Source organism: Homo sapiens, chromosome 17 (genome assembly GCF_000001405.40).
Source record: "Homo sapiens chromosome 17, GRCh38.p14 Primary Assembly".
Lineage (NCBI taxonomy): Eukaryota > Metazoa > Chordata > Mammalia > Primates > Hominidae > Homo > Homo sapiens.
Window position 1 is genome coordinate 81,365,003 of NC_000017.11, and position 24,679 is coordinate 81,389,681.

Consider the following 24,679-nt stretch of genomic DNA (forward strand, 5'->3'; position numbering starts at 1 on the left):
GTGGGGCCATTTAGAAACCTGTGCTGGGCTTACAACTTAAAGCAGCGGTCCCCAACCTGTTTGGCACCCAGGATGGGTTTCGTGAAAGGCAATCTTTCCATGGGCAGTGAGGGTGGTGGTGGTTTCGGGATGAAACTGTTTCACCTCAGATCATCAGGCATTAGAGTCTCATAAGAAGGGTGCAGCCCAGATCCCTCACACACGCAGTTCACAATAGGGTTCTCAGGTTCCGCGCCTATGAGAATCCAACGCCACCGCTGATCTGACGGGAGGCGGAGCTCAGGCGGGGACGCTTACTCACCCGCAGCTCACTTGCTGACGTGCAGTCCGGTTCCTAACAGGACACCAACAGGTCCGTGGCCCAGGGGTTGGGGACCCCTGACTTAAAGGACACTCCCCGGCCCGATAAGCACCATCGCTGAGCACAGGCTGGCACGGAGGCCAGGGAGGGCTGCCCCCTGGGTGTTGCTAAGCACGCCGCCCCAGGAGGGAACCGGCTCTGGAAGCTGCTCTCACAGCAGGGTCAGCTGGGATGCTGTCGGGTTTTAGCAGGACTGGGTCAAAGCTGGCGTCTGGAACTCAGAAGGGAAATCAGACATTGCCGGGCCAATCATGGAAGCGGCCTCTCCCCAGAGAGCTGGGGAAATTGAGGCCCAGAGAGATGTGTGGAGTCACTGGTGGGACGTGACCACCTGCCTGTGTCTGCTCCAGACCAGCCCCCGTCTCTGCCCCGGGCATGGTTCTGTTTGGGGCCAGAAAGACACGGGCCTGGAGCTCAGGGGAAAGGCTGGAAAGGGCCTTGGTCCTCCCAGCAGAGTGGACGCTTATCTCCACCGGAGCGCACAGAGGCTGGACGCACACCGCCCTCTGTGCTCACGGGTTCATTTGTTTGATGAATTTGTCATAACTTGAAAGGCTCTGGTTTATATGCTAACTTCCTGTTCCAGTTCAGTGCCAACATAACCACAGGCAGGTTAATTGCGTGTCCATCAACACGCCTGGGGAGCGAGCCAAGCCCTCCCTCCCGCCTTCATGGCCACAGAGTCCTGCTGCCAGAGCGCTCCAACCCGTGGGCAGGGGCTGTGGTGAGTGCCAGCCCCACAGGAAACCCCGTGTGCCAGGTGCCACAGCCAGGCCTGCCCTGGGCTGCAGGCCCCCCGTTCTTCAGTCCTTCCTGTGAAGTCGTCCAGCTGGGGGTGGGAAGGGAGGTGCCTGTGACTGCTGGAGAGACTCATCCAGCCACCCTCAACCAATAAAATGCTCTTCACCCAGCAATTCTACTTCCAGGGATCTCTCCCACCACCGAGTCCCACCAGGGTGCCACGATGTAGAGGCAGGACATTTGTGGGAAGGTGCCGGCGGCTCCTGGGGCTGGACACAGGCTAAATGCCTGGGAGGGGGCGGCTGGGTAAGGGAGAGGTGAGCCGAGGCCATGCAGCCTGGTAGCCATCGAGAAGAAGGAGATTACGTGGACAAGTGGTTAAAGACTTTCTAGGTGCTGCTCCGGGACAAAGGTGAGGTGCCACCCCCATGCTGTGTGTGGGACTTTGCTAAAACCAGATGGGAGGGGAATGGTGCCTGGAGGGTCCCTGCACTGTATAACCTTCTATGCCTTTGAGGTGTAAAAGCAGTGTTGTTTTACCTTCCTAAACTGCTGTCACAAATTTCTACAAAGTTGTTCATGTAAAACAACAAAATTCCATTCTCTCACAGGCCTGGAGGCCGCAAGTCCAGAATCAAGGTGCCTGAGGGCCGTGTTCCCTCTGGAGGCGCCCGGGGAGGCGGGGTTGGGGGAATCCTTCCTGGTCTCTTCCAGCTTCTGGGGGCCACAGGTGCTCCTGGACTTGCAGCCCCGCATGGCTCCAGCCTCTGCCTCCACCTCCACGCGCCTTCTCCGCTCTGGGTCTCAGTCATCCTCTGGCTTTCCCTTTCTCCGATGCCTAAGTGTCATCGGATTTAGGGCCCAGCCTAAGTTCAGGATGACCTCATCTGGAAATTAGATGTCAATCAGAAGCTGGAGGTTCATGGGGCCCCCACTCTATGAATGCAGGGTCTATGTCCCGGAAGGAGGTGACAGTCCAAGCAGGACCTGGACGTCTGGACACCTGGGAACCCAGGCGTCTGAACACTTGGAGCCTGGACATCTGGACGCTAGGACACCTAGACACCCCCACAATGCCCCTTTCCCCAAGCCCAGGCTTCCCCAACTGGCCTCGAGTCCAGGGCCCACAACGAGGAGCGGGTGGTGGTAAGAAGGAAGGTGGTGGAAACCACCACTGAGGCATCGATGTGTATTTGAGACCTCAGAACCAAGTGCAGCCGAGCGCGTGGACCATGCAGAGACCAGCCGGCCAGGCCATTGGTCCCAGACTGCACCCCTGGGGAGGCCCCGCCCACCTCGTGTGGCACTTTCCCACGTGGCAACCCCAAAGCCAGCAGGTGCAGTGTTTGAGTCAGGCTGCCTGGGCTCTGTCCACAGCTGGGGGGCCTTGGACGAGGGACCTCTGGTGCTCATTTGGACAGCAGCATCATGGTGGCTGCCTCAGGGCTGGTGGGATTACCTAGCAGGACAGCCCAGGGCTCACCTTTCTTTCTTTCTTTTTTTTTTTTTTGAGACGGACTCTCACTCTGTCACCCAGGCTGGAGTGCAGTGGTGCGATCTCAGCTCCCTGCAAGCTCCGCCTCCCAGGTTCATGCCATTCTCCTGCCTCAACCTCCTGAGTAGCTGGGACTACAGGCGCCCGCCACCACGCCTGGCTAATTTTTTCTATTTTTAGTAGAGACGGGGTTTCACCGTGTTGGCCAGGATGGTCTCCATCTCCTCACCTCATGATCTGCCCGCCTCAGCCTCCCAAAGTGCTGGGATTACAGGCGTGAGCCCCCGTGCCCAGCCTCCTTTTTTTTTTTTTTTTTTGGAGATGGAATCTCGCTCTGTCACCCAGACTGGATGGAGTGCAGCGGCGCGATCTCGCCTCCCGGGTTTAAGCAATTCTCCTGCCTCAGCCTTCCTAGTAGCTGGGATTACAGGCGTGCACCACCACGCCTGGCTAATTTTTGTATTTTTAGTAGAGATGGGGTTTCACCATGTTGGCCCAGGCTAGTCTCCAACTCCTGACCTCAAGTGATCCACCCTCCTTGGCCTCCCAAAGTGCTGGGATTACAGGCGTGAGCCACCACGCCCGTCCAAGCCACCTTTCAACAGACGGCCCCGGTGGCCGTTCTCAGGTGGGACTGATCTGGTCCTGCTGCTGCCTTCACTGAGCAGCATCGGGAGAACCAGGTGGCCGCTGTCCAGGCTCTGCGCTCCCGGCCCTGCTGGGTCTGCTCTGGAGTTCAGGGCTCGTGATGGTGTCCCAGTGTGTAGGTCTGCAGAACGAGGTGGTGCAGGAAGGGTGGGCCCTGGGTCCCACCGACCAAGGCTCTGGGACTTCCTTCTCCATGTTGGACGCAGGCTCAGGCTGGAGCTCTGTGATGCACCGGTGCCCTGCTGGGGGTGGACAGGGAGCACAGAGCCCCAAGGTCCAGGGGCAGCTCTGCTCTCTGTGCCCAGTGGGCCCATGGCAGCCTTAGCGGGGAGGCAGGGTACAGAGGGGTGGCAGAGGACCCTCGCCAGAGCCCAAGGTCCCTCGCGCCCCCAGGCCTTCTCTGGGGAGACCAGGAGGCTTGGAGGTCCTGGGGCAGCTGTGAGCCCTTTCTGGGCTGGCTCTTCACATGCACAGCCTTGCTCTGGAGCTTCCCGGCCATGATCTGCCTTCACAGAAACCCTGGGGGGCCGGATGAGAAGGCTCCAGAGAAACGGGCCGTCGAGGAGCTCGCATCCAGATGGGGGTCCCTCGGCCGACTTGGCGAGGACACACAAAACACAAGAGAAATGCCCAGAGGGTGTGTCTTGTGGTCCCCAGCATGGGCCTGGTGGACCTCAGTGAGCCCTTCTTTGACCCTGGCGTGGTGGCCGCCAGTGCCTCCTCATGGCTGGCCCTGCTCCCGGTCACTGCTGGGCACCGATGACCCCCTCATTCTCCCAGGCACCCCCTGAGAGAGACTCATGTGAGTCCAATTTTCTTCTTTCTTTGTTTTTTTGAGATAGGGTCTCACTCTGTTGTCCAGGCTGGACTGCTATGGTGAGATCAGCGTTTAATGCTGCCTCAACCTCCTGGGCTCAAGCGGTCCTCCCGCCTCAGCCTCTGGAATAGCTGGAACTACAGGTACGTGCCACCACACTCAGATAATTTTTTGTTTTTATTTTGTAGAGATGGGGGCATTACATTGCCCAAGCTGGTCTTGAACTTCTAAGCTCAAGCAATCCTCCTGCCTCGGTCTCTCAAAATGCTGGGATTACAGGCATGTGCCACCGTGCCCGGCTTAGTCTGATTTTCTTTTTTTTTTTGAGACAGTCTCACTCTGTCGCCCAGGCTGGAGTGCAATGGCGATCTCAGCTCACCACAACTTCCACCACCCAGGTTCAGGTGATTCTTCTGCCTCAGCCTCCTGAGTAGCTGGGACTACAGGCACCTGCCACCACGCCTGGCTAATTTTTGTATTTTTAGTAGAGACAGGGTTTCACCATCTTGGCCAGGCTGGTCTTGAACTCCTGACCTCATGATCTGCCTGCTTTGGCCTCCACAGTGCTGGGATAACAGGCGTGAGCCACCCCTCCTGGCCAAGTCTGATTTTCAAATGAGGCTCAGCAGGGCCGGGAGCTACCTGGTCACCCAAGGGCACAGGCAGATCTGGGAGAAGGTGGTTTCCTGTGGGGTCCCGGGACCTGTTGCAGACAGAGCCTCTAGCCCTGCTCCTGGGGAGCCTCGCTCTAGATACCTGGGGAAGTCGCTGAGCCTCAGTTCCTGGGCCCCTGGTCCCTGACACCCCAGAGCCTGCCTGGCCTCCGACCCTCAAGCCTCTTACCCTTTCTTTTCCTCAAGGCTCCTCTCCTGTTTTCTAAACCTTCTCCTTCAAAACAAACCCTCTCAAGGCTGGGTCCCAGAGCAAAGATCCTCAGGGTTGGCCAGGCGCGGTGGCTCATGCCTGTAATCCCAGCACTTTGGGAGGCCAAGGTGGGTAGATCACCTGAGGTCAGGAGTTCAAGACCAGCCTGGCCAACATGGTGAAACCCCGTCTCTACTAAAAATACAAAAATTAGCCGGGGATGGTGGCACATACCTGTAATCCCAGCTACTCGGGAGGCTGAGCAGGAGAATCACTTAAACCCGGGAAGCGGAGGTTGTGGTGAGCCGAGATTGTGCCACTGCACTCCAGTCTGGTGACAGAGCGAGACTCTATCTGAAAAAAAAAAAAAAAAATCCTCAGGGTGCCCGGGAACCTACTGGAGCCAGGGACAGACACATCTGGATGGAAACTGCAGTGCCCTATGGGGTCAGGCACATGCTAGAGGCAGCCAGGTCCTAGGGGAAGAGGAAGGAGAGGTGGTGCTGGCCTAGGGGGCAGGGGTGCGGGGGACAGGGCTAAGCCAGCCATCTCTGCCAGAAGCAGGCAGCCCTTCCTGAAATGGACTTTGAGAGTTTGTGATATCATAATTGACGTCGCTGCCTGCCAGAGTCAGGAACCGGCCCAGAGTGTCATCCATCCCCTTCACTCCAGCCTGACTCAGAAGGTGGAATTGTGCCCCCCAAATATGTCCAAGTCCTGGTGCCCTCATATCTGTGAATGTGACCTTATCTAGAAATAGGGTCAGCCGGGCGTGGTGGCTCACGCCTGTAATCCCAGCACTTTGGGAGGCTGAGACCGGCGGATCACCTGAGGTTGGGAGTCTGAGACCAGCTGGACCGACATGGAGAAACCCCCTCTCTACTAAAAATACAAAAAATTAGCTGGGCGTGGTGGCGCATGCCTGTAATCCCAGCTACTCGGGCTGAGGCAGGAGAATCACTTGAACCCAGGAGGCAGAGGTTGCGGTGAGCTGAGATCACGCCATTGCACTCCAGCCTGGGCAACAAGAGCAAAACTCCACCTCAAAAAAAAAAAAAAAAAGAAAGAAAGAAAGAAAAAGAAATATGGTCTTTGCAGCTATAATCAAGCTAAGATGAAGTCAGACTGGAGTAGAGTGGGCCCTAATCCAGTGCCTGGTGTCCTTCTAAGAGTGAGACACTGAGGACGGGCGCGGTGGATCACACCTGTAAATCCCAGCACTTTGGGAGGCTGAGGCGGGCGGATCACGAGGTCAAGAGATTGAGACCATCCTGGCCAACATGGTGAAACCCCGTCTCTACTAAAAATACAAAAATTAGCTGGGCATGGTGGTGTGCACCTGCACTCCCAGTTATTCAGGGGGCTGAGGCAGGAGAATCACTTGAACCCTGCAGGCGGAGATTGCAGTGAGCCGAGATCGTGCCACTGCACTCCAGCCTGGGTGACAGAGCAAGGCTCCGTCTCAAAAAAAAAAAAAAAAAAGACACTGAGACAGTCCCAATGCCAATGAGCCGTGCACTTAAAAATTGTTAAAATGGTAGATTATATATATAACCACAATTCAAAAAATAACCAGATAAAATTTTAGGAGCCTGAAGTTATGGGGCGTGTATACAGTGAGGGACCGCACCGCCCGCCGGCAGCTTTCATCTGTCAACTCCTAGTGAGAAGAACACTCACCCACCAAAAAAAGGAAAAATTGAAAATGGTGCTGATTTCGAGGGTAAGTGCTAGCTTGCTTGCAGGGCATTTGAATATATGAAGTCAAATGGACAAATTCAAACCTGGGTCTTGTTACCAGGCAAGTTACTGAAATACTTCATTCAGTTTCGCACCTGACAATATACAATTTTAGAAAGAATATGTATACAAAAAAAGAGTGAGGCAGAGATTGGAGACCACCTGAAGCTGGGACAGAGGCCTCGACAGGCCTCCCCGCAGAGCCTCCAGAAGGATCCACACCACCGCACGTCGGTGGCCAGCTTCTGGCCTCTCAATCCATAAGAAAAGAGCTTCCTGCCATTGAAGCGCCCAGTCTGTGGCCATCTGTTGCACAGTCAAGGACACCAAGGCCCAGACCCAGCTATGTGTGTGTCCTGGGGAGGCACAGGGTGAGGGGGACTCTCTGCTCCCAGGGTCGGTGCTTGGGGGGGGTCTCCCAGGAGCGGGATGGGGCAGGGCTCCTCCAGTGCAGGCTGGGAGGCCTCAGGGGATCCACCCGCCAGGAATGCCCATGGGCCCAGAAGGCACAGGGTGGGGGTTCCCTAAACTCTCTGGAGGCTGGGGCTGGGGGAACAGGCTGTTCCAGCAAGGGGCCCTGAGGCTGTGGCCACACACGGGCTGGGAGGGATCCGGCCTGTGCCTGGGCACTTAGCCTGAGTGTGGGGGGGACCAGGGCCTGTGCAGGTCACGTGGCCTCCACGGTGTCAGCTCCAAGGGACACTGCTCGGCCTCCTCTTAGTCAACCCAGGGACGACTCCTTCCTGGTGGGACCTCCCTTCTTGAGGCTTCCAGGAGGCACTCCTGTGTCTCTGGTCTCCGCTTCCCGGCCCCTCCTCCCTCCTGAAGCTCCATCCTGTCCCCAGCGTCCCTGAGATGACCTCACCCACGCCAGTTTCCCATTCCATGCTCTGCGGCAGGCTCCGGAGTCCACATCTCCAAGCCGAGTAGGCGTCCCTCACATGCTCCTGCTCGAACCGGCCGCCTGACCTCCTTGAGCCCAGCAGATGGCCACGCAGAGCCCTGAGTTGCAGTGGAACCTGCTGGCCCTCTGGCACCCATCTCATTGAGGGGCCCCCCCACCCCAGGAGTACAGGCCTGTGGCTGTGTTCCTATGTGGCTTTGCTCCCCACACCCACAAGAACACGCACAACAGATCCTGGGCGTCTTCAAAATTCAGGCAATGTCCAGCTCGGGCCTTCCCAGCCACTCGGCTCCCTCCCCAACCCAGCACCTCCTCCCTGGCCCTGCATCCCCTCCACTTGGACCTCCTCTGGTTCCCTCCCTGCAAGCAGCCCAGGCTCCAAGCCCTCCACGGGCCCCCCAAGGCACAGTCCCAGAGCCAAAGTCTTCCCCTCGGCCTTCCAGGACCTCTGGAATCCAGCCACTGGCTCGAACCCTCTGACCCCATCTCTCCTCCCCTCCCCATTTCCTGCCCCCACTGAAGGCCCAGTGGCCTCCTTTCCTTCCTGGAAGCCCCAGGGCCTTTGTACCTGACAGTCTCCCAGTCAGAAATGCCCCCCAGTCAGGGCGCGGTGGCTCACACCTGTAATCCCAGCACTTTGGGAGGCTGAAGTAGGTGGATCACGAGGTCAGGAGATAGAGACCATCCTGGCTAACACGGTGAAACCCCGTCTCTAATAAAAATGCAAAAATTAGCTGGGCGTGGTGGCTGGCGCCTGTAATCCCAGCTACTCAGGAAGCTGAGGCAGGAGAATTGCCTGAACCTGGGAGGCGGAGGTTGCAGTGAGCCGAGATTGCGCCACTGCACTCCAGCCTGGGCAACAGAGAGAGACTCCGTCTCAAAAAAAAAAAAAAGAAAAGAAAAGAAAAAGAAATGCCCCCAGCTGTATGCCTCCTCCTCGCCCGCAGTACTGTACTCCAAGGTCACCTTGGCTGCCCCGTTGAACACTGCAGCCCCTCGAGCCGCTATGCGCACCCTCAACAACGCAGGCGCCAGCGCTTGGCGTGTCCCAGCTCCTGTGCACCCATGCTGGCCCTGTGTGCCCATGTGGTGACTGAACCAGGCGGCCAGCTGACCCATGGGGTGCCCCTTCCCTGAGAGCTGCTTCCTTCCTCATCCACAGGGTACTTGGAGACTGGCCCCGGGCTGGGCCCCTGTCTGGAGCGCCGAGGCCTGCCTGTCGGCCTGGGATGACTGCAGAGGCTGCTGTCAAGGAAGCTGTGCTCCATGGTCAGGACAAGCAAGCCGACCTAGGGGCCCAAGAGACCAAGATGAGCTCTCCAGGCCCCACAGCCCGGCCCTGAGCCTCCTCTGCTGAAGCCAGCCCGTGCGCTGACAGCGGTATGGGGCCTGCATGATTGGCGCAGGAATAAGCAAAGAGACCCTGGACCCAAGGGCGGGTCCAGAAAGCGGCCCCTTCCCCACGCCGATTTATAACAAAGGCCCCTGCAGAGCAGGGGGAAGAGGTGGCCTTTCCCTGCCACGTGTCCAGTATCAGTTGGACACTGACAGAAAAAAGTGACCCCATCCCCACAATTAATTTAAAATGAGTCACAGAGCAGGCTGGGCACGGTGGCTCACACCTGTAATCCCAGCACTTTGGGAGGCTGAGGCGGGCGGATCACTTCAGGCCAGGAGTTCAAGACCAGCCTGGCCAACATGGTGACACCCTGTCTCTACTAAAAATACATAACTTAGCCGGGCGTGGTGGCACACTCCTGTAATCCCAGCTACTCGGGAGGCTGAAGCACAAGAATTGTTTGAACCCAGGAGGCAGAGGGTGCAGTGAGCTGAAATTGCACCACCGCACTCCAGCCTGGGTGACAGAGGGAGACTCTGTCTCAAAAAATAATACTAATAAATGAAATAAGTCATAGAACAAAGTGTGAAAAATAAGCCCCAAAGCTTCTAGAATAAAACATAGCAAAATCTCTTCAAGACACTGTGGTCAGGCCAGGCACAGTGGCTCACACCTGTCATCCCAGCACTTTGGGAGGCCGAGGTGGGCGGATCACCTGAGGTCAGGAGTTTGAGACCAGCCTGGCCAACATGGTGAAACCCTGTCTCTACTAAAAATATAAAAATTAGCTGGGTATGGTGGCGCATGCCTGTAATCCCAGCTACTCGGGAGGCTGAGGCAGGAGAATCACCTGAACCTGGGAGGCGGAGGTTGCAGTGAGCTGAAATGGCGCCACTGCACTCCAGCCTGGGCGACAAAGCGAGACTCCGTCTCAAAAGAAAAAGAAGAAGACACTGTGGTCAGCAAAGATTTCTAACATAGAACACAAAGGGACTCGACATAAAAGACTGGGCTTCCTTAAAATCAACAACTTTGAGACACCATCAAGAGAGTCAAAAGGTAAGTTGCAGACAAATGTACCGTTCGCCTCGGTGTGTCTTAATAGATTCTACACCAAGGCCTTCTGCCCAGAATATATCAAGAACTCCTACAAATTGATAAGAAAAAGATAAACAAACCAATTTTTAAAATGGGCAATACACTTGAACAAGTACTTCACAGACCTGAAGTGCATTGAAAGGGCTAAATGCAGTGAAAAACTGGTCAGCCTCATTAGTCACCAGCGAAATAAGCATTTAAACCATAATGAGATGCCACTTCATGCCTTCACAAAGGCTAAAACTACAGAATGACTTTTCTTTATTTATTTTTTCTTTTTTTGGAGACAGAGTCTCATTCTGTTGCCCAGGCTGGAGTGCAGTGGCGCGATCTCGGCTCGCTGCAAACTCTGCCTCCTGGGTTCAAACGATTCTCCTGCCTCAGCCCCCAAGTAGCTGGAATTACAGGCACGCACCACCACGCCTGGCTAATTTTTGCATTTTTAATAGAGACGGGGTTTAACCATGTTGGCCAGGCTGGTCTTGAACTCTTGATCTCAGGTAATCCACCCACTATGGCCTCCCAAAGTGCTGGGGTTACAGGTTTGAGCCTCTGTGCCCGGCCCGGCCAAAGACTGCCTATTCTAAACGTTGCTGAGGACGTGGAACAATCACAGCTCTCCTCTCTTTCCAGTGGGAGTTTAACATGGCACAACCGCCTGAAAACCGTTTGGTGATTTCTGTGAATTCCTATGCCTTCTCTATGACCCAGCAATTCCACTCCTGGATGGAGTTAACCTGTGATGGTTAATTTTCTGTGTCAACTTGTCTGGGGCACGGGGTGCCCAGATATTTGGTCAGCATAATTTGGGCTATTTCTTTGAGGGTGTTTCTGCATGAGATGACCCGGTGCTCTGAGTGACGCTGACTGCCCTCCCCAGTGTGGTCTGGCCCCATGCACTCAGCTGAGGAAATACTAGGATAGAATAAGAAGTCCCAGGAGTCAGAGGGCCAGCTCTCCCAGGGTCTCAAGCCTGCCAGCTTTCAGCCTGGAGTGGTGGTATCACCCTCAGGGGTCTCCAGGGTGCCAACCGTGGCTCTCGGGACTTGTCAGCCTCCATCATCACAGGAGCAGATTCCTTCTCATCGATCTTTTTCTCCAGATACAGAGATGGGTGTGTCCCCTGCTGGCTCTGGTTCTTTGGAGACCCCGGCTAACACACACCTGAGACGGAGAAGGGCTTCTGTGACCAAGGGACACAAACAGGAACCTGCCGAGCAGAGTTCCTCATCACAGCCCTTGTGTGTTTCTTTAGGGATGCCGTAACAAAGTTCCCCAGTCAGGTGGCCTAAAGCAACACCATTGCATTCTCTCACAGTCTGTAAAGCCAAGGCCTGGAATCAAGGCGTGGGCAGGATTGGCTCCTTCTGAAGGCTCTGAGGGAAAATCCTTCCGGCACCTCTCCCCAGCTTCTGGGGACAGCAGCAATGCCCCCCGGGTATCTGTGTCTAGTCTCCCTCCACCTCGCTCTTCTAAGGACACCTGTCGTTGGATTTAGGACCCACCCAACTCCAAGATAATCTTTGTAAATGTCATTAATTAATTTGTAAATGTCACCTGAGACCAAGAGTTCACGACCAGCCTGGCCAACATGGTAAAACCCCGTCTCTACTAAAAATGCAAAAATTAGCCTGGCATGGTGGTGCATGCCTGTAGTTCCAGCTACTTGGGAGCCTGAGGCAGGAGAATCGTTTGAACCCAGGAGGCAGAGTTTGCAGTGTGCTGAGATCGCGCCACTGCACTCCAGCCTGGGCAACAGAGTGAGACTCTGTCTCCAAAAAAAGAATAAATAAATAAATAACAGTCTGTAATTAAATGTCATTAATTAATGACATTTACAAAGATTATTTTTCCGAAGAAGTTCCCTTTCATAGGATCTGGGTGGACACATATTTTGGGTGCCACCATTCAACAAGCCCCAAACCAGAAATAACCCAAATGTCCATCAGTGGGAGGCTGGGTCAGCGTGCGTGGTTTATTCCTACAACGGAATATAATTCAGCAACAAAGAGGAGCCACTGATGCACGTGGCAACTCGGATGAATCTCCCAGGCATGACGCCGAACTCAAGCAGCAAGATAGGACCAAGGCCTGAGGAAGGCGAAGCTGCCAGGTGGGCCTCAGCAGCGGACCCTGGTCAGGGCTTGGAGTGCCGGTTGAAGACCCAAGGGCTGCACGAGAATCTCATGGGTGAGAACGCGTTGAGCTGCAGCCCAAAGATGGGAGCATTTATTTATTTATTTATTTATTTTTGAGATGGAGTCTTGCTCTGTCACCCAGGCTGGAGTGCAGTGGCACAATCTCGGCTCACTGCAACCTCCGCCTCCTGGGTTCAAGCAATTCTCCTGCCTCAGCCTCCTGACTAGCTGGGATTACGGGCATGTGCCACCACGGCCAGCTAATTTTTTTCACCATATTGGCCAGGCTGGTCTTGAACTCCTGACCTTGTGATCTGCCCGCCTTGGCCTCCCAAAGTACTGGATTACCGGCATGAGCCACTGCGCCAGTAAGTGGCTGATGGGAGCATTTTACCGCCTGGATGTTGTACCTTGACTGAAAAGGGAACCCCAACCAAGCCCTGAAGCTGGGGCGGGTGCAATTTGAGTTTGGGGAGGGTGGGAGCAGGTGCTGGTGGGGCTGGGGGAGTTGGGGGGGCTGGGGGAGTCGGGGGATCTGGGAGAGTCGGTGGGGCTGGGGGATTCCGGGGGCGCTGGGGGAGTCAGGCACTCACTCCACATCTCTAAGCATCAGTTTCTCCATCTGTCAAATGGGCGAGTGAGCCCCGCCTCAGATACCGCAGAGAGTGCCAAGCCAGGCAACTTCTGGGGGGCTTAACGAGCGTTCGTCTTAGTCCATCTGCCCCGTGGGCAGAGCCCACTCCACAGGGAGGGAGCCAGGCTGGCCTCGTGGCAGGAGGCTGGAAGCAGCACTTGCAGGTGTGTGCATGAGCAGGCCAGTGTGTGCTGACGCACGTGTGTGTTCACATGAGCACATGCATAAATATCTCAGGTGAAATTAACATCGGGAAGAGTCCACCAGAAATGAAATAATGCACATGGACTGGCTCAGTATTTTTTTTTTTTTCAGATGGAGTTTTGTTCTTGTTGCCCAGGCTGGAGTGCAATGGTGTGGTCTCGGCTCACCGCAGCCTCTGCCTCCCTGGTTCAAGTGATTCTCCTGCCTCGGCCACCCAAGTAGCTGGGATTACAGGTGCCCGCAATAACATCCAGCTAATTTTTTGTATTTTTAGTAGAGATGGGGTTTCTCCATGTTGGTCAGGCTGGTCTCAAACTCCTGACCTCAGGTGATCCGCCCACCTCGGCCTCCCAAAGTACTGGGATTACAGGCATGATCCACCACGCCGGGCCCTGGTCTTTTTTTTTTTTTTTTTAAGAGAGAGTTTGCTCTGTCACCCAGGCTGGAGTGTAGGTGGCACGATCTCGGCTCACTGCAGCCTCCACTTCCCAGGTTCAAGCAATTCTCCCACCTCAGCCTCCCGAGTAGCTGGGATTACAGGCGCCCACCACCATGCCTGACTAATTTTTGTATTTCAGGGTTTCACCATGTTGGCCAGGCTGATCTCGAACTCCTGACCTCAGGTGATCCACCTGCCTCGGCCTCCCAAAGTACTAGGATTACAAGTGTGAGCCACCGTGCCCTGCCAAGACTGTTTTGATGTCAGAAAAAATACTGAATGCCACAATCTGGGCTCATGGTGTGTGGGCGGCTACACATCAGGGTTCAGCATGTATGTTGAGGGGTCTGCCTTGGCCCCTCTATTCCTGGGCCCAAGCAGATGGGGTAGCAGGTGGGGAGGGGTCTCAGTTGTCTGGGTGGGCTTTCTGGCCCACCCCACTCTCCCCCTCACCCAGGATGGGGCGTCCTGCTGGGTCAGGGAGTCTCAGGGCTCCCAGGCAGTCTGAACGCTGGAACTTGGGCATCACTGCACTGGGTCCCCTCCCCAGGGTGCAGCAGGCCCTACATCATAGGGCACACCCACCCTACCTCCCCTTCAATCCCACTCAGTCAGGCCAGGCCCTGCCCAGGCCCCTTGGGGCTGCAGTTTCTCAGGGAACAGCACTGCCCAGAGCGCCTCCCCTACGGCAGCCACTGCCCACCCCGCCCTAGGCATCCCTCTCTGCGGCCCCGCAGGGGCATGAGAGTGGCAGCATGGCGGCAGGCTCCCTGTGCAGTGTGCTTCCTGCCAGGGAACTCGTCAGCCTCCTGCTGGTGTCACACATCCCTGACCCTCCCTCAGGGTCCTCCCAGGTTTCCCAGGCCCGGGGCAGGGGGCAGAGCAGCAGGAGACAGGAGTGGTGATCCACCAGGCAAGGGGCTGGGCTGGTGAAGGCATCCTCTGGGATCCCTGGCCAGGCTGGGGCCAGGAATGGGAGAGGCTCGGGGGGATGCTGGGGCAGAGCCCAGGAGCTGGAGGGGAAGCAGGCGGGGAGAGAGCAGAGCCCCGCTGAAGGGAGCCACAGTGAGCCCTGGGCACAGGTGGGACAGGCCTCGAGTCCTCCTTGGCCAGGAGACTCCCAGGAAGGATGGCACGAAGGCAGGGGTGGGCCGCCAGGAGCCTGCGGAGCCCGTCCACATCTGCCAGGCACCGCCTGTACGACAGGCCAGCTCCCAGCGTGGTTGAGGTCCCAGGTCCCTCCGGCGCCCAGCAATGCCCGGGTCCCAGACAGGACAAGTTCCTGCCTCCCTCTTACCAGCAGGACCTGCCGGGCATCTGAGCTGCCTGGGGTGTCACAGGTGAGCCAGCAGTGGCGGGTGGGAAGTGACGTGTCATGGGTGAACAGCAGTGGAGGGTGGAGCTGTTGAGCCAGTCCTGGGCGGCGTATGGCTGGATAGGAGGTGTCCCAGGCCACACTTCGAAAAGGACAAATGGACTAGGTCGCTGCCCTGGACCCATAACATGCACCTGGCTGTGCCCCCCGCTCCCCCCACACCCCGCTCCCTACCCCTCCACCCCCTGCTCCCCCCCACTCCCCACACCCACACCCCTCCGCTCCCCCCCCGCCTCCCCTCACATCCTCCCCACTAGCCCCCATCCCCCTGGCTCCCCCCCCCGCTCCCCCCACCCCCACCGCTGCCTCCCATCCTCCCGCTCCACTCCCCCGCTCCCCCCACTCTCCCATCCCCCCCGCTCTCCCCCCACTCCCACTACTCCCCACCCCCACTCCCCACCCGCCCTGCCCCAGGCAAGCCTCAGGGGTGGTGGCTGTTGACTGCAGGAGCAGAGCCAGAACAGCTGGCGGAGACCAAACCTGGTCATCCTTCACAGGCTGTGTGGCCATGGGCAAGTCACTCTACCTCTCTGGGTCCCGGTCTCCACATTTTCAGAGTGAGGGCAGTTTCTCTGTGCCCTGAAAGTGGCTGGGAGTCTAGGCCAGGTGACAGCTCAGGGCAAGTTCTCAAGGGCCCCAGAAGCATCTGGGGTGCAGGGGAGGTTCCAGGATCCCCAGTTCCCACCTTTAAATGAGGTGACTCGAGACCCTCTGAGATGAAGGGACCCTGAACGTTGATCATTTTGACCTCCCATCTCTAGGAGCATGTCCAGAGTCTGCCATTCCTTCCAGAAAGGAAAAAGGAGAACTCACATCAAGATCTCCCTTGTTTAGCCAGGGAGGTGGGAGTGGGGCCGGGGGGCAGCCAGGAAACATGAGCACGTTCGTCATGGAGGGCAGGGGCTGCACGGGCGGCCAGGCAGTGTGAGCCCATGGTCAGCACCAGCGGCGAGCTGTCATCTCCCTGTGCCTCAGTTCCCTTCCCTGTAAAACAGAACTCTGCACCGCCCCCGACCCCATGCCAAGGTGCTGGGCAAAGCTGCAAAGGTGCTGGTGCCCGGCCACCCTCAGTCAAGGCGGCAAGAACCCCTCGGTGAGTGGACGTGGCCCCACAGGGATGTAGAGGATGAGGCAGAACCCAGGGCTCCCCGAGTTCCAAGTCCACGCTCCCCTGCACACGGGCCCACCGCCGCCCTTTCCAGAGAGAAAAAGAAATTTCTGTCTAAAGTCAGTCAGAACACCCCCAGACTCCACACTGGTGACGTCCGAATCCCCCCGGACACCGGTGTGGCCTCAGTCCTTCCTCCCAGCTGGTTCGCTCAGCTCTTGCTCCCTGCCAGCCCCCAGGTCCTGGTCCTTCTGCCACAGGCTAGCAGGCACCCCACAGCCCGATGGCGGCTCAGATGGAGACTGCGGTACTGGATATCCTGGGGGTAACATCACAGCCACACCCTCCGCCAGGCTGGGGACAGCTGCCCATGGGCCGGGCCAGGCCAGTGCTGGGATTATGTCTGGGGCCACCCAACAAAAGACCACAAATGGGGCAGCTGCAAACAACAGAAGTCTATTTTCTCCGAGTCCTGGTGGCCGGAACCAAAATCAAGCTATCGGCAGGACTGTCCTCTCTCTGCAGGCTGCAGGGGAGGTTCTTCCCGCCTCTTCTGGCATTTGGTGGCCCCAGGTGTCCCGTGGACGTGGCCGTGTCATTCCCATCTCTGCCTCATCTTCACGTGGCCTCTGTCGCCTCCCTCTCAAATCTCCCCCGACCTCTGTCTTCTAAGGGCCTTTGTCTCTGGACAAAGACCCTTTTCCCAAATAAGCCTGTCGTGTTCACAGGCTCCAGGTGGACCGATCATTTGGGGGCCACCACTGTGCCCACTGCAGTGGAGTCGGGGACGGGGCCACTCATGGCCATGAGGCCACAAACGGGTGTGGGGTCTGAGAGCAGCAGGCAGGTCACCCAACACCAGACAGGAGCAAGCCCAAGCAGGGGTGGCCGAGAGAGCCGGGAGGGTGATCGGGTGAAACGCCTGCCCTCAGAGGAAGAGACGGGACATGGCCCACGGCGGGGTCTCACCTGCGGCCTCTGGTTCTCCCCGTGCTTTGGCGCCGCTCCCGCTCCATCCTGTCCCTTCACTCCCCTGTTGGAGAGGGTTTTCCCACAATGGCCTGGACATGGAGGGCTCGGGAGGTGGGTGACCTTCCCAGTGTGCCCAGCTGGAACTGGTCGACTTGGGCCCAGGTCCATGTGAGTCCCGGGCCCCGCTGCCTCCTGAGACCAAGGAGCATTTCCCTCTCTGGCGATGGGCACGGGAGCTCCTGGCAGGACGGCGACCGTCCGGTGGGCCCGGAGAGGAGGCAGCTGCTGCACCCTCGGCGCTGGCTCTCAGGGATGGCTGGGCTGTTAGGCCCGAACTAGACCTGCTGCCGCCGTGTGGAGAAGAGGTGGCCCCAGGAGCCCACTGTCTCGGGTGTGGGCCATCTCCATGCCTGTTCCTGTCCCCATCACACACCAGGCAGTCCCCACCAGCGCCCACATCCTCACCAGGGCTCTCCACGTCCCCTCCTCTGGTCCCCACCCATGTGTCAGCTCCTCACAGTTCCAAGGGGCCACCCAGCATCCCCGGGGCCCAAGCCCTTAGAGGATGTGGTCTGGGAGGGTGGGACAGACACTTCTTCCCCAAGTCTGCCTCTGATGTGTCACCCAAACCTTTAAACTTTGCACCTCAGTTTTATTTATTTATTTATTTTTATTTTTTTTGAGACAGACTCGCTCTGTCGCCCAGGCTGCAGGCTGTGGGGTGTGGCGTGATCTCAGCTCACTGCAACCTCCGCCTCCCAGGTTCAAGCGATTCTCCTGCCTCAGCCTCCTGAGTAGCTGGGATTACAGGTGTGCGGCACCACATCCAGCTAATTTTTGTATTTTTAGTAGAGATGGGGTTTCACCACGTTGGCCAGGCTGGCCTCGAACTCCTGACCTCAGGTCATACACCCGCCTTAGCCTCCCAAAGTGCTGGGATTACAGGCATGAGCCAATGCACCTGGTGGGACCTCAGGTCTATAATGATCTAAATCACCCAACAGGAGGAGGCAGCAAGACCTGGCAGCGAGGGCCAAGCAGGAAGGCCATCTGCCTGCCCCCTGCCTGTCCCCTCCCCACCCCCAGCTCTCCCAGGCACTACAGCCTGGGGCAGCCCCTCCCCCAGGGCCCCACCCTCAGCCTCCTGTGCAGGTGAGCAGGAGCGGGCAGCCTCACTGGAGCCCAGATGACGGAGCCGGAGCCCCTGCCCCACCCCACCTGCATTTGAGGGGTGGGATCTGCTTCTGGCCATGAGGGAGGACAGACCCCCACACTCTACAAAGCCTGCCCCTTGGCTGCTTGGCTGTCTGGGCCAATTCTGGTTGTCCTGAACCAGAGGCCACCAACGGGCCCCGTGGAGGCTCAGAACCAAAATCCCACATTCTCAGAGGTTCTTGGGGTCCTCAGGGTTGGGTAGTGCAGCAGCGTGCAGGCTGGGAGGGAAGCCTGGGATCAAATCCTGGCTCCCCTTCTTCCCGTTTGGTGGCCTTGACGGAGAGTGAGGGCTTCCTGGTGACTGAGCCTCGCTTTCCTCGTGTGTCCTGGGCTCGGAGAAGTCCTTTCTGGAGGAAGGAGGGTCCCTTCCTCTTGGTCAGGGCGGGAAGAAATGTGCCCCAAGGAGGGATGGCAGCGCCCACTGCGCCCCTTTCCTCCTCCCCCCACCCCGGGCTCCTCCTCTGATTCCGTTTTGGGGACTCTTTCCTGCCCCTCAGAGTCTGAGGCTTCTAGGCCTGCGCTGTTCATACCTTGACCCCACCCCAGCCCCCATGTTCGCAAGCCTGTGTCCCCTGGAGCCTCTTGTCACAGAGGACCCTCTCCTGTGGAGTCCCAGGGCTCCACTCGCCCCCATGGGGTTTCCAGCTTGCAGCCTGGGGTCCTGGGACGGGTGCAGGGAGGCAAGTGGCCCCCAGCCCACGGAGCCCCATCATGCAGAAAATTCGGCAAAACCCAGCTTCCTCCGAGTGAGGCGGCTGTCCCAGGGCAAGCTCGGGGAGGGCACTGTTGCCCCGCTGTCCCTTGGCCACGGCAGGGTTAGGCTGTAGCATGGGCAAGACTCAGGGACACAGAAATCGGAAGGGGAGTCTAAAAGGGGGTCCAGCCCTGCCCAGCAGCCTCACCACCTGGTGGCATCACCCCCACGCTGGGCGAGCTGCCCCCTCTCCAGGGCAGGGCTCCAAACCGCTCTGGGGGAAGCTGGCCTCAGCTGGGTGTCGGGGGGCCTGGGCCCATTTGCCTGGACGCTGCGGGCACCCTGCCCCTCTGGCTCCCCGGGGTCCTGGGCCTCTCGCGGGCAGGAATGCCATCTGTGCCATCTGACCAGGGCTCCCCTCACTGTGCACCCTGGCGTTTTGGGGCGTGGGAAGGCGTTCAAGGCTGGTTTCTGTTTCCCCGTCAAGCCCTGAGTGGAGTGCGACCGGAGGCTGGCCAGTGGCTCCCCGGGCACCTAGGGGAGGCTGGGGGCAAACTGAGGCAGTCTAGAGCCTACAATCACTCCAGGGGCCTGTGGGGCAGGGACAGGGCTGAGGGGACCTGGCACCCTGTGGGTTCCCCAGCAGTGTGGCTGGGGACATGGGGACAGAGCCCACCTTGCAGCCTCTGATCTCTGGGCCTGGACATTTGTTTGGAGTAGTGTTCACTGGTTTGTTTTGTTTTCTTTTTTTTGAGACAGAGTCTCTCTCTGTTGCCCAGGCTGGAGTGCAGTGGCGCGATCTCAGCTCACTGCAAGCTCCGCCTCCTGGGTTCGAGCGATTCTCGTGCCTCAGCCTCCCAAGTAGCTGGGGCTACAGGTGCCCACCACCACGCCTGGCTAATTTTTGTATTCTTAGTAGAGACGGGGTTTCACCAAGTTGGCCAGGCTGGTCTTGGACTCCTGGCCTCAGGTGATCCACCCGCCTCAGCCTCCCAAAGTGCTGGGATTACAGGTGTGAACCACCACGCCTGGCCTGTTTTGTTTTCTGATTGCAAAATGAATACATTTCAAAAGGGAAATTTGAAAAATATAAAAAATCCTTAAAAAGAGAATAAAACCCACCCATCAACCCATCATGCTATACCCAGGAACACTACCTCCAGCTTCCAGGACCCCCAACCTCAGCCAAGGGTCTCCACATACTTCTCTCTTCTGTAATTGGGTCTTCCCGCGGAGGCTGGGGCCTGGGCGGATGGATGCCCAGGGTGGGGGCTACCTCCTCTGGACTGCCGAGACCTCCCCAGCAATGAGGTGCCAGACCAGGACCGGGGTGAACTCACCATGAGCTTCTGTTGCCGTCTGGGCCTGGGCTGGGAGCAGGAATCTCTGGGGAAGGCCAAGCATGTTTCAGAGTCATCGGGATCAGGGCCACCCTCTCCCTCCCCCAGTGTCTGCAGCCATTTTCATAGGAAAAAAACTGGGTTTAACAAAGCTGTTCCAGACCTCCTGACCTGAAACTGATTTCTACCCTTCCGTGTGGCCCTAAGGCTCCCAGGCACGAGGCGCATAGCTAGGGGAAGACAGTGCCTCTGACACCCATTTAAGAGTTAACTGAGGCCAAAAAGCCGCTCTGCACGCCCCTCTTGTTCAGAGGCCCACTGATCCCCTGGTCCCGTGGTCACCACGGGGTATGGGTGCAGACAAAGCCGTGTTCATGGAAGCTCCGGGCCTGATGACAGTGGCACAAGGACCCCATTCTCTGCTGTCTCCAGCTGCATCCCCTCCCCCAGCCGGCCTGACATCAGAGACAGCGGGTCAGACATCCCGGGATCCCCCACTCCCACCCCAGGGCGCAGGCTCAGCTGCTGGGGCTCAGGGAAATGCACAAGAGGGCCTGTGCTGGGGAGACAGGGCGTGGATGAACTGCCTGAGTGGTGCAGACAGCTGCAGCTTGGCCCAGCAAGTCTTCAGTGGGAAGCTGCCTGCATTTTTACAACTGATTTTTGAACCTGAAAGTGGAGGTTCACATCCAGCCTGTTCAACGTAATCTTGTTGGTTCCAGTCCAACGTGACCTTTTGGAATCTGGTTTCCAGACTCTTGCCATATATTAGCAGTTCCTCCCGGCTGCAGGCTGCGATCTGCCTTGCTGGGGCCTCATCCCAGAGAAACAGGCTGGCCGGGAGCATTCGGAGGGGCTTCCCAGGAAGAGCTGGACCCTGACACATCTTTCCGTGGGTGCTGTGGCCAAGACGCCCAATGGCTGGTCATGAGGCCCATTTTGTTCTGCTCCTGGTCTACAAGGCAGAAGTCGGGACGCATCATGTCTGCCCCAGCCAGGAGTCTTAGGGTTGTCCCAGGCCCAAAAGTCAGCCAACCCTAGTACTAGTTTTCCAGAAGAATCCAGAGCCTACGCACCCAGGCCCTCAGTGTGAACAAGGGCACGTTATTTGCTCTCACAGTCTCCTTCTGCTCATCTGTAAAATGGGCATGGCCACCATGCCCTCTGTGTCCCAGGCTGTCTAGAGGGTTGAGCAGGCAGGGTAGGATCTGGTACCCACCATGCCCCCGATGCCCACGCAGGCCAGAGAGGGGAGAAATGGAGTTGGCTGAGGCCTGGCCCTCCAATGCCCTCTCTGGGCTCTGAACCAGGGCTCCGTCCGTCCCCTGGGGCTGCCTCCCGCAGGCCAGGGCTCCTTTATCCTCCCCGTTGAGCACCTGGGGCGCGGGGATGACAGCCTCATTTCCCCAAGCAGCCCCCACAGGGCTCCCTGGATTCCTCTCTGACAAGCACATGCGCCGGCTCTGGTCTTGGCTCCGTGTGCCCCAGCACGACAGAACAAGTGCGGCAAGACCCAGGCCTGCAGGGCGGCGGCAAGTGCCCGGAGGGGCGGAGGCGGGGGTAGGGGGTATGCCGGCGCCCGGCAGTGTCGCTGTCCCCGCGCCACCGACCCCACCCCGGCGTGACCTTCCCTGCCGCGCGCCCAAAGGCCAGCAAAGCAGGCGGCGCTTTTAAGGACGCGGCGGCGCGGCGGGTTCGGTGCCAGGAGGCGCCGGGGGGCGGAGGGAGGGGGCGCTCGAGGCCAGAGGAGCGACCCCCGGCAGCCACCCAGGCGCGCCCCGCTCGTCACTCGCTCTCTTCTCCCACTTGCGCCGGCCGGGGGCGGGGCGCGGCGGCGAGGGTGGGGGCTGGGCAGCCGGGGTCCTCCCTCCCCCGCTGTGCTGGAGGCAGCGGGGCGCTCCCCGGAGCTGGGGCGCGGAGGGAGGGCCGAGGGCGCGTCGGAGCCTCATCCGGCCTGGGCCCTCCGAGCGGGAGCGACCCGGGTGCGGGGCCCCACTCTGCCTGGTCGCCCCGAGCGCGTGGAACGCGAGCCGAGGTTCCGCCCGAAATGCGGCCGGCGAAGGGGTGCGGTCCGGGCGGGGTCGCGCGCCCCCAGCACGCTGCCTGGGCTCTGGAATCTGGGAGAAGCCTCCAGCACGGGCTCCCGAGCGCACAAACTCAGGGACGCCCTTCCTCCCGTCCCTGGTCCCCTCCCCGAAAAGCGAGGGGGACGGGCCTGGAGGGAAACGGATTCGGTTTCGCTCCGCTCTCGTCAATTTTCTGTTTAATGTCACCGGGCCCCACTGTGGGAGTAGGAAGCGCGTCACCCGGGCCATAAATTTGCGGTGATGGCGCCTCCGGCCGCCTCCCCAGACGGAGGGACAGGGCCGACTCCGGAGCAGGTGGGGCCGCCGAGACTCGACCTCCGCGGTAGGCGCTGCGCGGCTTCTCCCGACGCGGGTCCCGGGCGCGCTCGGCCGCCCCTCCCGCCGCATCCGCCCGCGCCCGGCCCCGCCGCGGGATTTCCAAAGGGCTTTTGTTCCGGGCTTGGATGTAGAGGCTTTGATTTTTTTACCACCCGCCTCAGGAGACTTTTTGCTTGGAAAAGTCCTGCTATTAAAACAAAAACAAAAACCAATCAATTCCGGAGGGAAGAAAATGCCTCCAGTGTGTGTCTGCGCTTCCCCCGGGCCGAGGACGGTGGTCGGGGCTGCGTATTGCCCGGACCCCGGGTAGGGGAGGCGCAGAGACCCGGCCCTAATGGACTTCGCTCGGAAAGGCCCCGGCGGAAGTGGCCGGGAGAGCGGGCGGCTGCGTGGGTCTGGGCCCTGGCCCGGGGCAGGCTCCTCTGGCCTGCCTGCCTTGGCTGCTTGGAAAGGGATTTCTGGGGAGTCTCCCTTTGGGGGCACTTTCCCCGAAACTCCTCTCCCGCCTGGGGAATTACCCCTGCAGCGGGTACTGATGCTTCATGAATTGAGATGGAATACGTATTTGTTCAGGCCAGAAAAAAAAAATGAATCTATTGAATGATTTTTAATTTAATGGATCAACTGTCCTGTTAACAAAAGAGGCGGTGGCCGTGTTTGGCGCCAGGCGGGAGGCAGCAGTCAGGTGGTCCAGGGGCTGGAGGTGAGGGCTTTGCCGCAGGCGCATGCTGCTCTGTGAGAACTCCGAGGAATAACTCACTGGAGGGCTATAAATGCTGAAGGTAACCAGGCCAAGGACTCCAGTGCCCCCAGAAGTCGCAGGGGAGAGACAGTCTGTCCCCTCTGGTCCAGCCCAGGGAGGGCCTGCAGCCTCCCCATGGGAGCCATGGCCAAGGGGGAGAAAGGTCTCCAGGGCTGGAGGGCAGGTGGGCGGTGGGGCTCATCTCAGGGGCAGGGCGTGGGGGTTTGTGGGCCAGGACCCACCCAAGGGCTGGGTCTGGGAGGTGCTTGGGGAGCCCAGGGCGACCTGGTGTGTGCCCTGCGGGATGCCCCGAGGGCTCCTGCTTGTGTTGCCAGCACCTGCCCTTGGGAGCCGTCAGCTGGGGCCACGATGCTGGCAGGGTGAGGCCTGGCAGGGTCTGGGGCTTTTGGAGGGTGGGGGCTAAGGGAACCCCTGGTGGAAGCTGCCTTCAGGGTTCCTGCCTGCCTTGAGGATGGGTGATAAGGGGCTGGGCCCTGCCCTCCTGCTGCCTGGGCTCTGTAACTGATGCTCAGAGGACCGGGTGGAGTTGGGTGGGAGACCTAAATGCTCCACGGTCCTGTAGGTCTCAGCTGGCCTGGCCCCGCCACCCAGCCCACACCCTTCCCCTAGGGCCCTCTCACCAGTGTGAGAATAGGCCTGGGGAAGTCTGGGCCCGGGAGGCCCCCGACCCCCACTGTCCAGACACCCTGACAGCGACACGTGTAAACACCGCCAAACAGTGGAGACAGGCAGCCCTGCCGCCCCTCCGCCTCTGCAGCCAGGCCTGGTCTGGCAGGGAGTGGAGGCAGGTGTCCTTGCAGGGAGGGCCCGAAGCCAGGCTCTGCCTTGGAGGATGCTCCGGAAGGACCACATAAGCAGTGCCCTCGTTTGGATTGGTCCTGCCTGAGCATTGTCCCCAAGCAGGGCAGTTTCAGCCACTAGGCCCTCCCAACCCCCATCTGTCTGATCTGGGCTTTCTCTCCCGGGTCTGGCTTCCTGTCCTCATCCTCATGGGCAGGAAGACGGAGGGCTGTTTCGGGTCAACCTCCTGTAAGGAAAACCGATTACTCTTTATTCCAGCAGATCCCCAAAGCGCATCCCTTGGCCCAGAGATTCCCAGAGAACCCTGCCCCTCCAGGTCCACCCCCAGACTGGCTGCCTGGGGGGAAGGAGCCGGCCTTTAGGGAAGGCAGCCTGGCATGGTGGAGGTTCCCTGGGCTCCTGGGCCTTTCTCCAGCCCTCCAGCCGCAGAGGTGACAGTGACCAGGGGGCTGGAGGGGCAGCAGGACAATGGTGAGTGGAGGGGGGCTGGGAGGCTCCCTCCTCAGCCTGGGGGTCCCTGGCAACTCCCACCTTCCTTGATCCCCTCTAATAATTGCAACAATAACACTGTCACTAATAAAAAG

General features: G+C 58.8%; 2 long non-coding RNA genes across 3 annotated transcripts, besides 8 other annotated features; one reads left to right on the forward strand and one right to left on the reverse strand.

Moving 5' to 3' along the window:
- Positions 439 to 1,026: an enhancer, noted in NCBI's record as "H3K4me1 hESC enhancer chr17:79339241-79339828 (GRCh37/hg19 assembly coordinates)". NCBI's record gives its function as "activates a minimal SCP1, AML or CMV promoter by ChIP-STARR-seq in naive H9 embryonic stem cells {active_cell/tissue: H9 hESC(naive)}" and the evidence as "EXISTENCE:reporter gene assay evidence [ECO:0000049][PMID:30033119]".
- Positions 1,027 to 1,612: an enhancer, noted in NCBI's record as "H3K4me1 hESC enhancer chr17:79339829-79340414 (GRCh37/hg19 assembly coordinates)". NCBI's record gives its function as "activates a minimal SCP1, AML or CMV promoter by ChIP-STARR-seq in naive H9 embryonic stem cells {active_cell/tissue: H9 hESC(naive)}" and the evidence as "EXISTENCE:reporter gene assay evidence [ECO:0000049][PMID:30033119]".
- Positions 6,515 to 9,485, forward strand: LOC124904083 (uncharacterized). Its single transcript, XR_007065942.1, has 2 exons — positions 6,515 to 6,649; positions 8,733 to 9,485. It is a non-coding gene; the product is annotated as an uncharacterized LOC124904083 (long non-coding RNA).
- Positions 9,486 to 10,435: 950 nt separating this feature from the next.
- On the reverse strand, positions 10,436 to 20,380 carry LINC03048 (long intergenic non-protein coding RNA 3048). Of its 2 annotated transcripts, none has more exons than NR_164137.1 (4): positions 20,127 to 20,380; positions 15,483 to 15,582; positions 14,720 to 14,879; positions 10,436 to 11,171 (listed from the first exon to the last, which is right to left on the reverse strand). It is a non-coding gene; the product is annotated as a long intergenic non-protein coding RNA 3048 (long non-coding RNA). The 2 variants fall into 2 exon arrangements; NR_164138.1 differs by lacking the exon at positions 20,127 to 20,380 and adding an exon at positions 19,944 to 20,123.
- Positions 13,883 to 14,482: an enhancer, noted in NCBI's record as "H3K4me1 hESC enhancer chr17:79352685-79353284 (GRCh37/hg19 assembly coordinates)". NCBI's record gives its function as "activates a minimal SCP1, AML or CMV promoter by ChIP-STARR-seq in naive and primed H9 embryonic stem cells {active_cell/tissue: H9 hESC(naive and primed)}" and the evidence as "EXISTENCE:reporter gene assay evidence [ECO:0000049][PMID:30033119]".
- Positions 14,483 to 15,082: an enhancer, noted in NCBI's record as "H3K4me1 hESC enhancer chr17:79353285-79353884 (GRCh37/hg19 assembly coordinates)". NCBI's record gives its function as "activates a minimal SCP1, AML or CMV promoter by ChIP-STARR-seq in naive H9 embryonic stem cells {active_cell/tissue: H9 hESC(naive)}" and the evidence as "EXISTENCE:reporter gene assay evidence [ECO:0000049][PMID:30033119]".
- Positions 20,988 to 21,556: an enhancer, noted in NCBI's record as "H3K4me1 hESC enhancer chr17:79359790-79360358 (GRCh37/hg19 assembly coordinates)". NCBI's record gives its function as "activates a minimal SCP1, AML or CMV promoter by ChIP-STARR-seq in naive H9 embryonic stem cells {active_cell/tissue: H9 hESC(naive)}" and the evidence as "EXISTENCE:reporter gene assay evidence [ECO:0000049][PMID:30033119]".
- Positions 22,941 to 23,500: an enhancer, noted in NCBI's record as "H3K27ac-H3K4me1 hESC enhancer chr17:79361743-79362302 (GRCh37/hg19 assembly coordinates)". NCBI's record gives its function as "activates a minimal SCP1, AML or CMV promoter by ChIP-STARR-seq in naive H9 embryonic stem cells {active_cell/tissue: H9 hESC(naive)}" and the evidence as "EXISTENCE:reporter gene assay evidence [ECO:0000049][PMID:30033119]".
- Positions 23,501 to 24,060: an enhancer, noted in NCBI's record as "H3K27ac-H3K4me1 hESC enhancer chr17:79362303-79362862 (GRCh37/hg19 assembly coordinates)". NCBI's record gives its function as "activates a minimal SCP1, AML or CMV promoter by ChIP-STARR-seq in naive H9 embryonic stem cells {active_cell/tissue: H9 hESC(naive)}" and the evidence as "EXISTENCE:reporter gene assay evidence [ECO:0000049][PMID:30033119]".
- Positions 24,061 to 24,618: an enhancer, noted in NCBI's record as "H3K27ac-H3K4me1 hESC enhancer chr17:79362863-79363420 (GRCh37/hg19 assembly coordinates)". NCBI's record gives its function as "activates a minimal SCP1, AML or CMV promoter by ChIP-STARR-seq in naive H9 embryonic stem cells {active_cell/tissue: H9 hESC(naive)}" and the evidence as "EXISTENCE:reporter gene assay evidence [ECO:0000049][PMID:30033119]".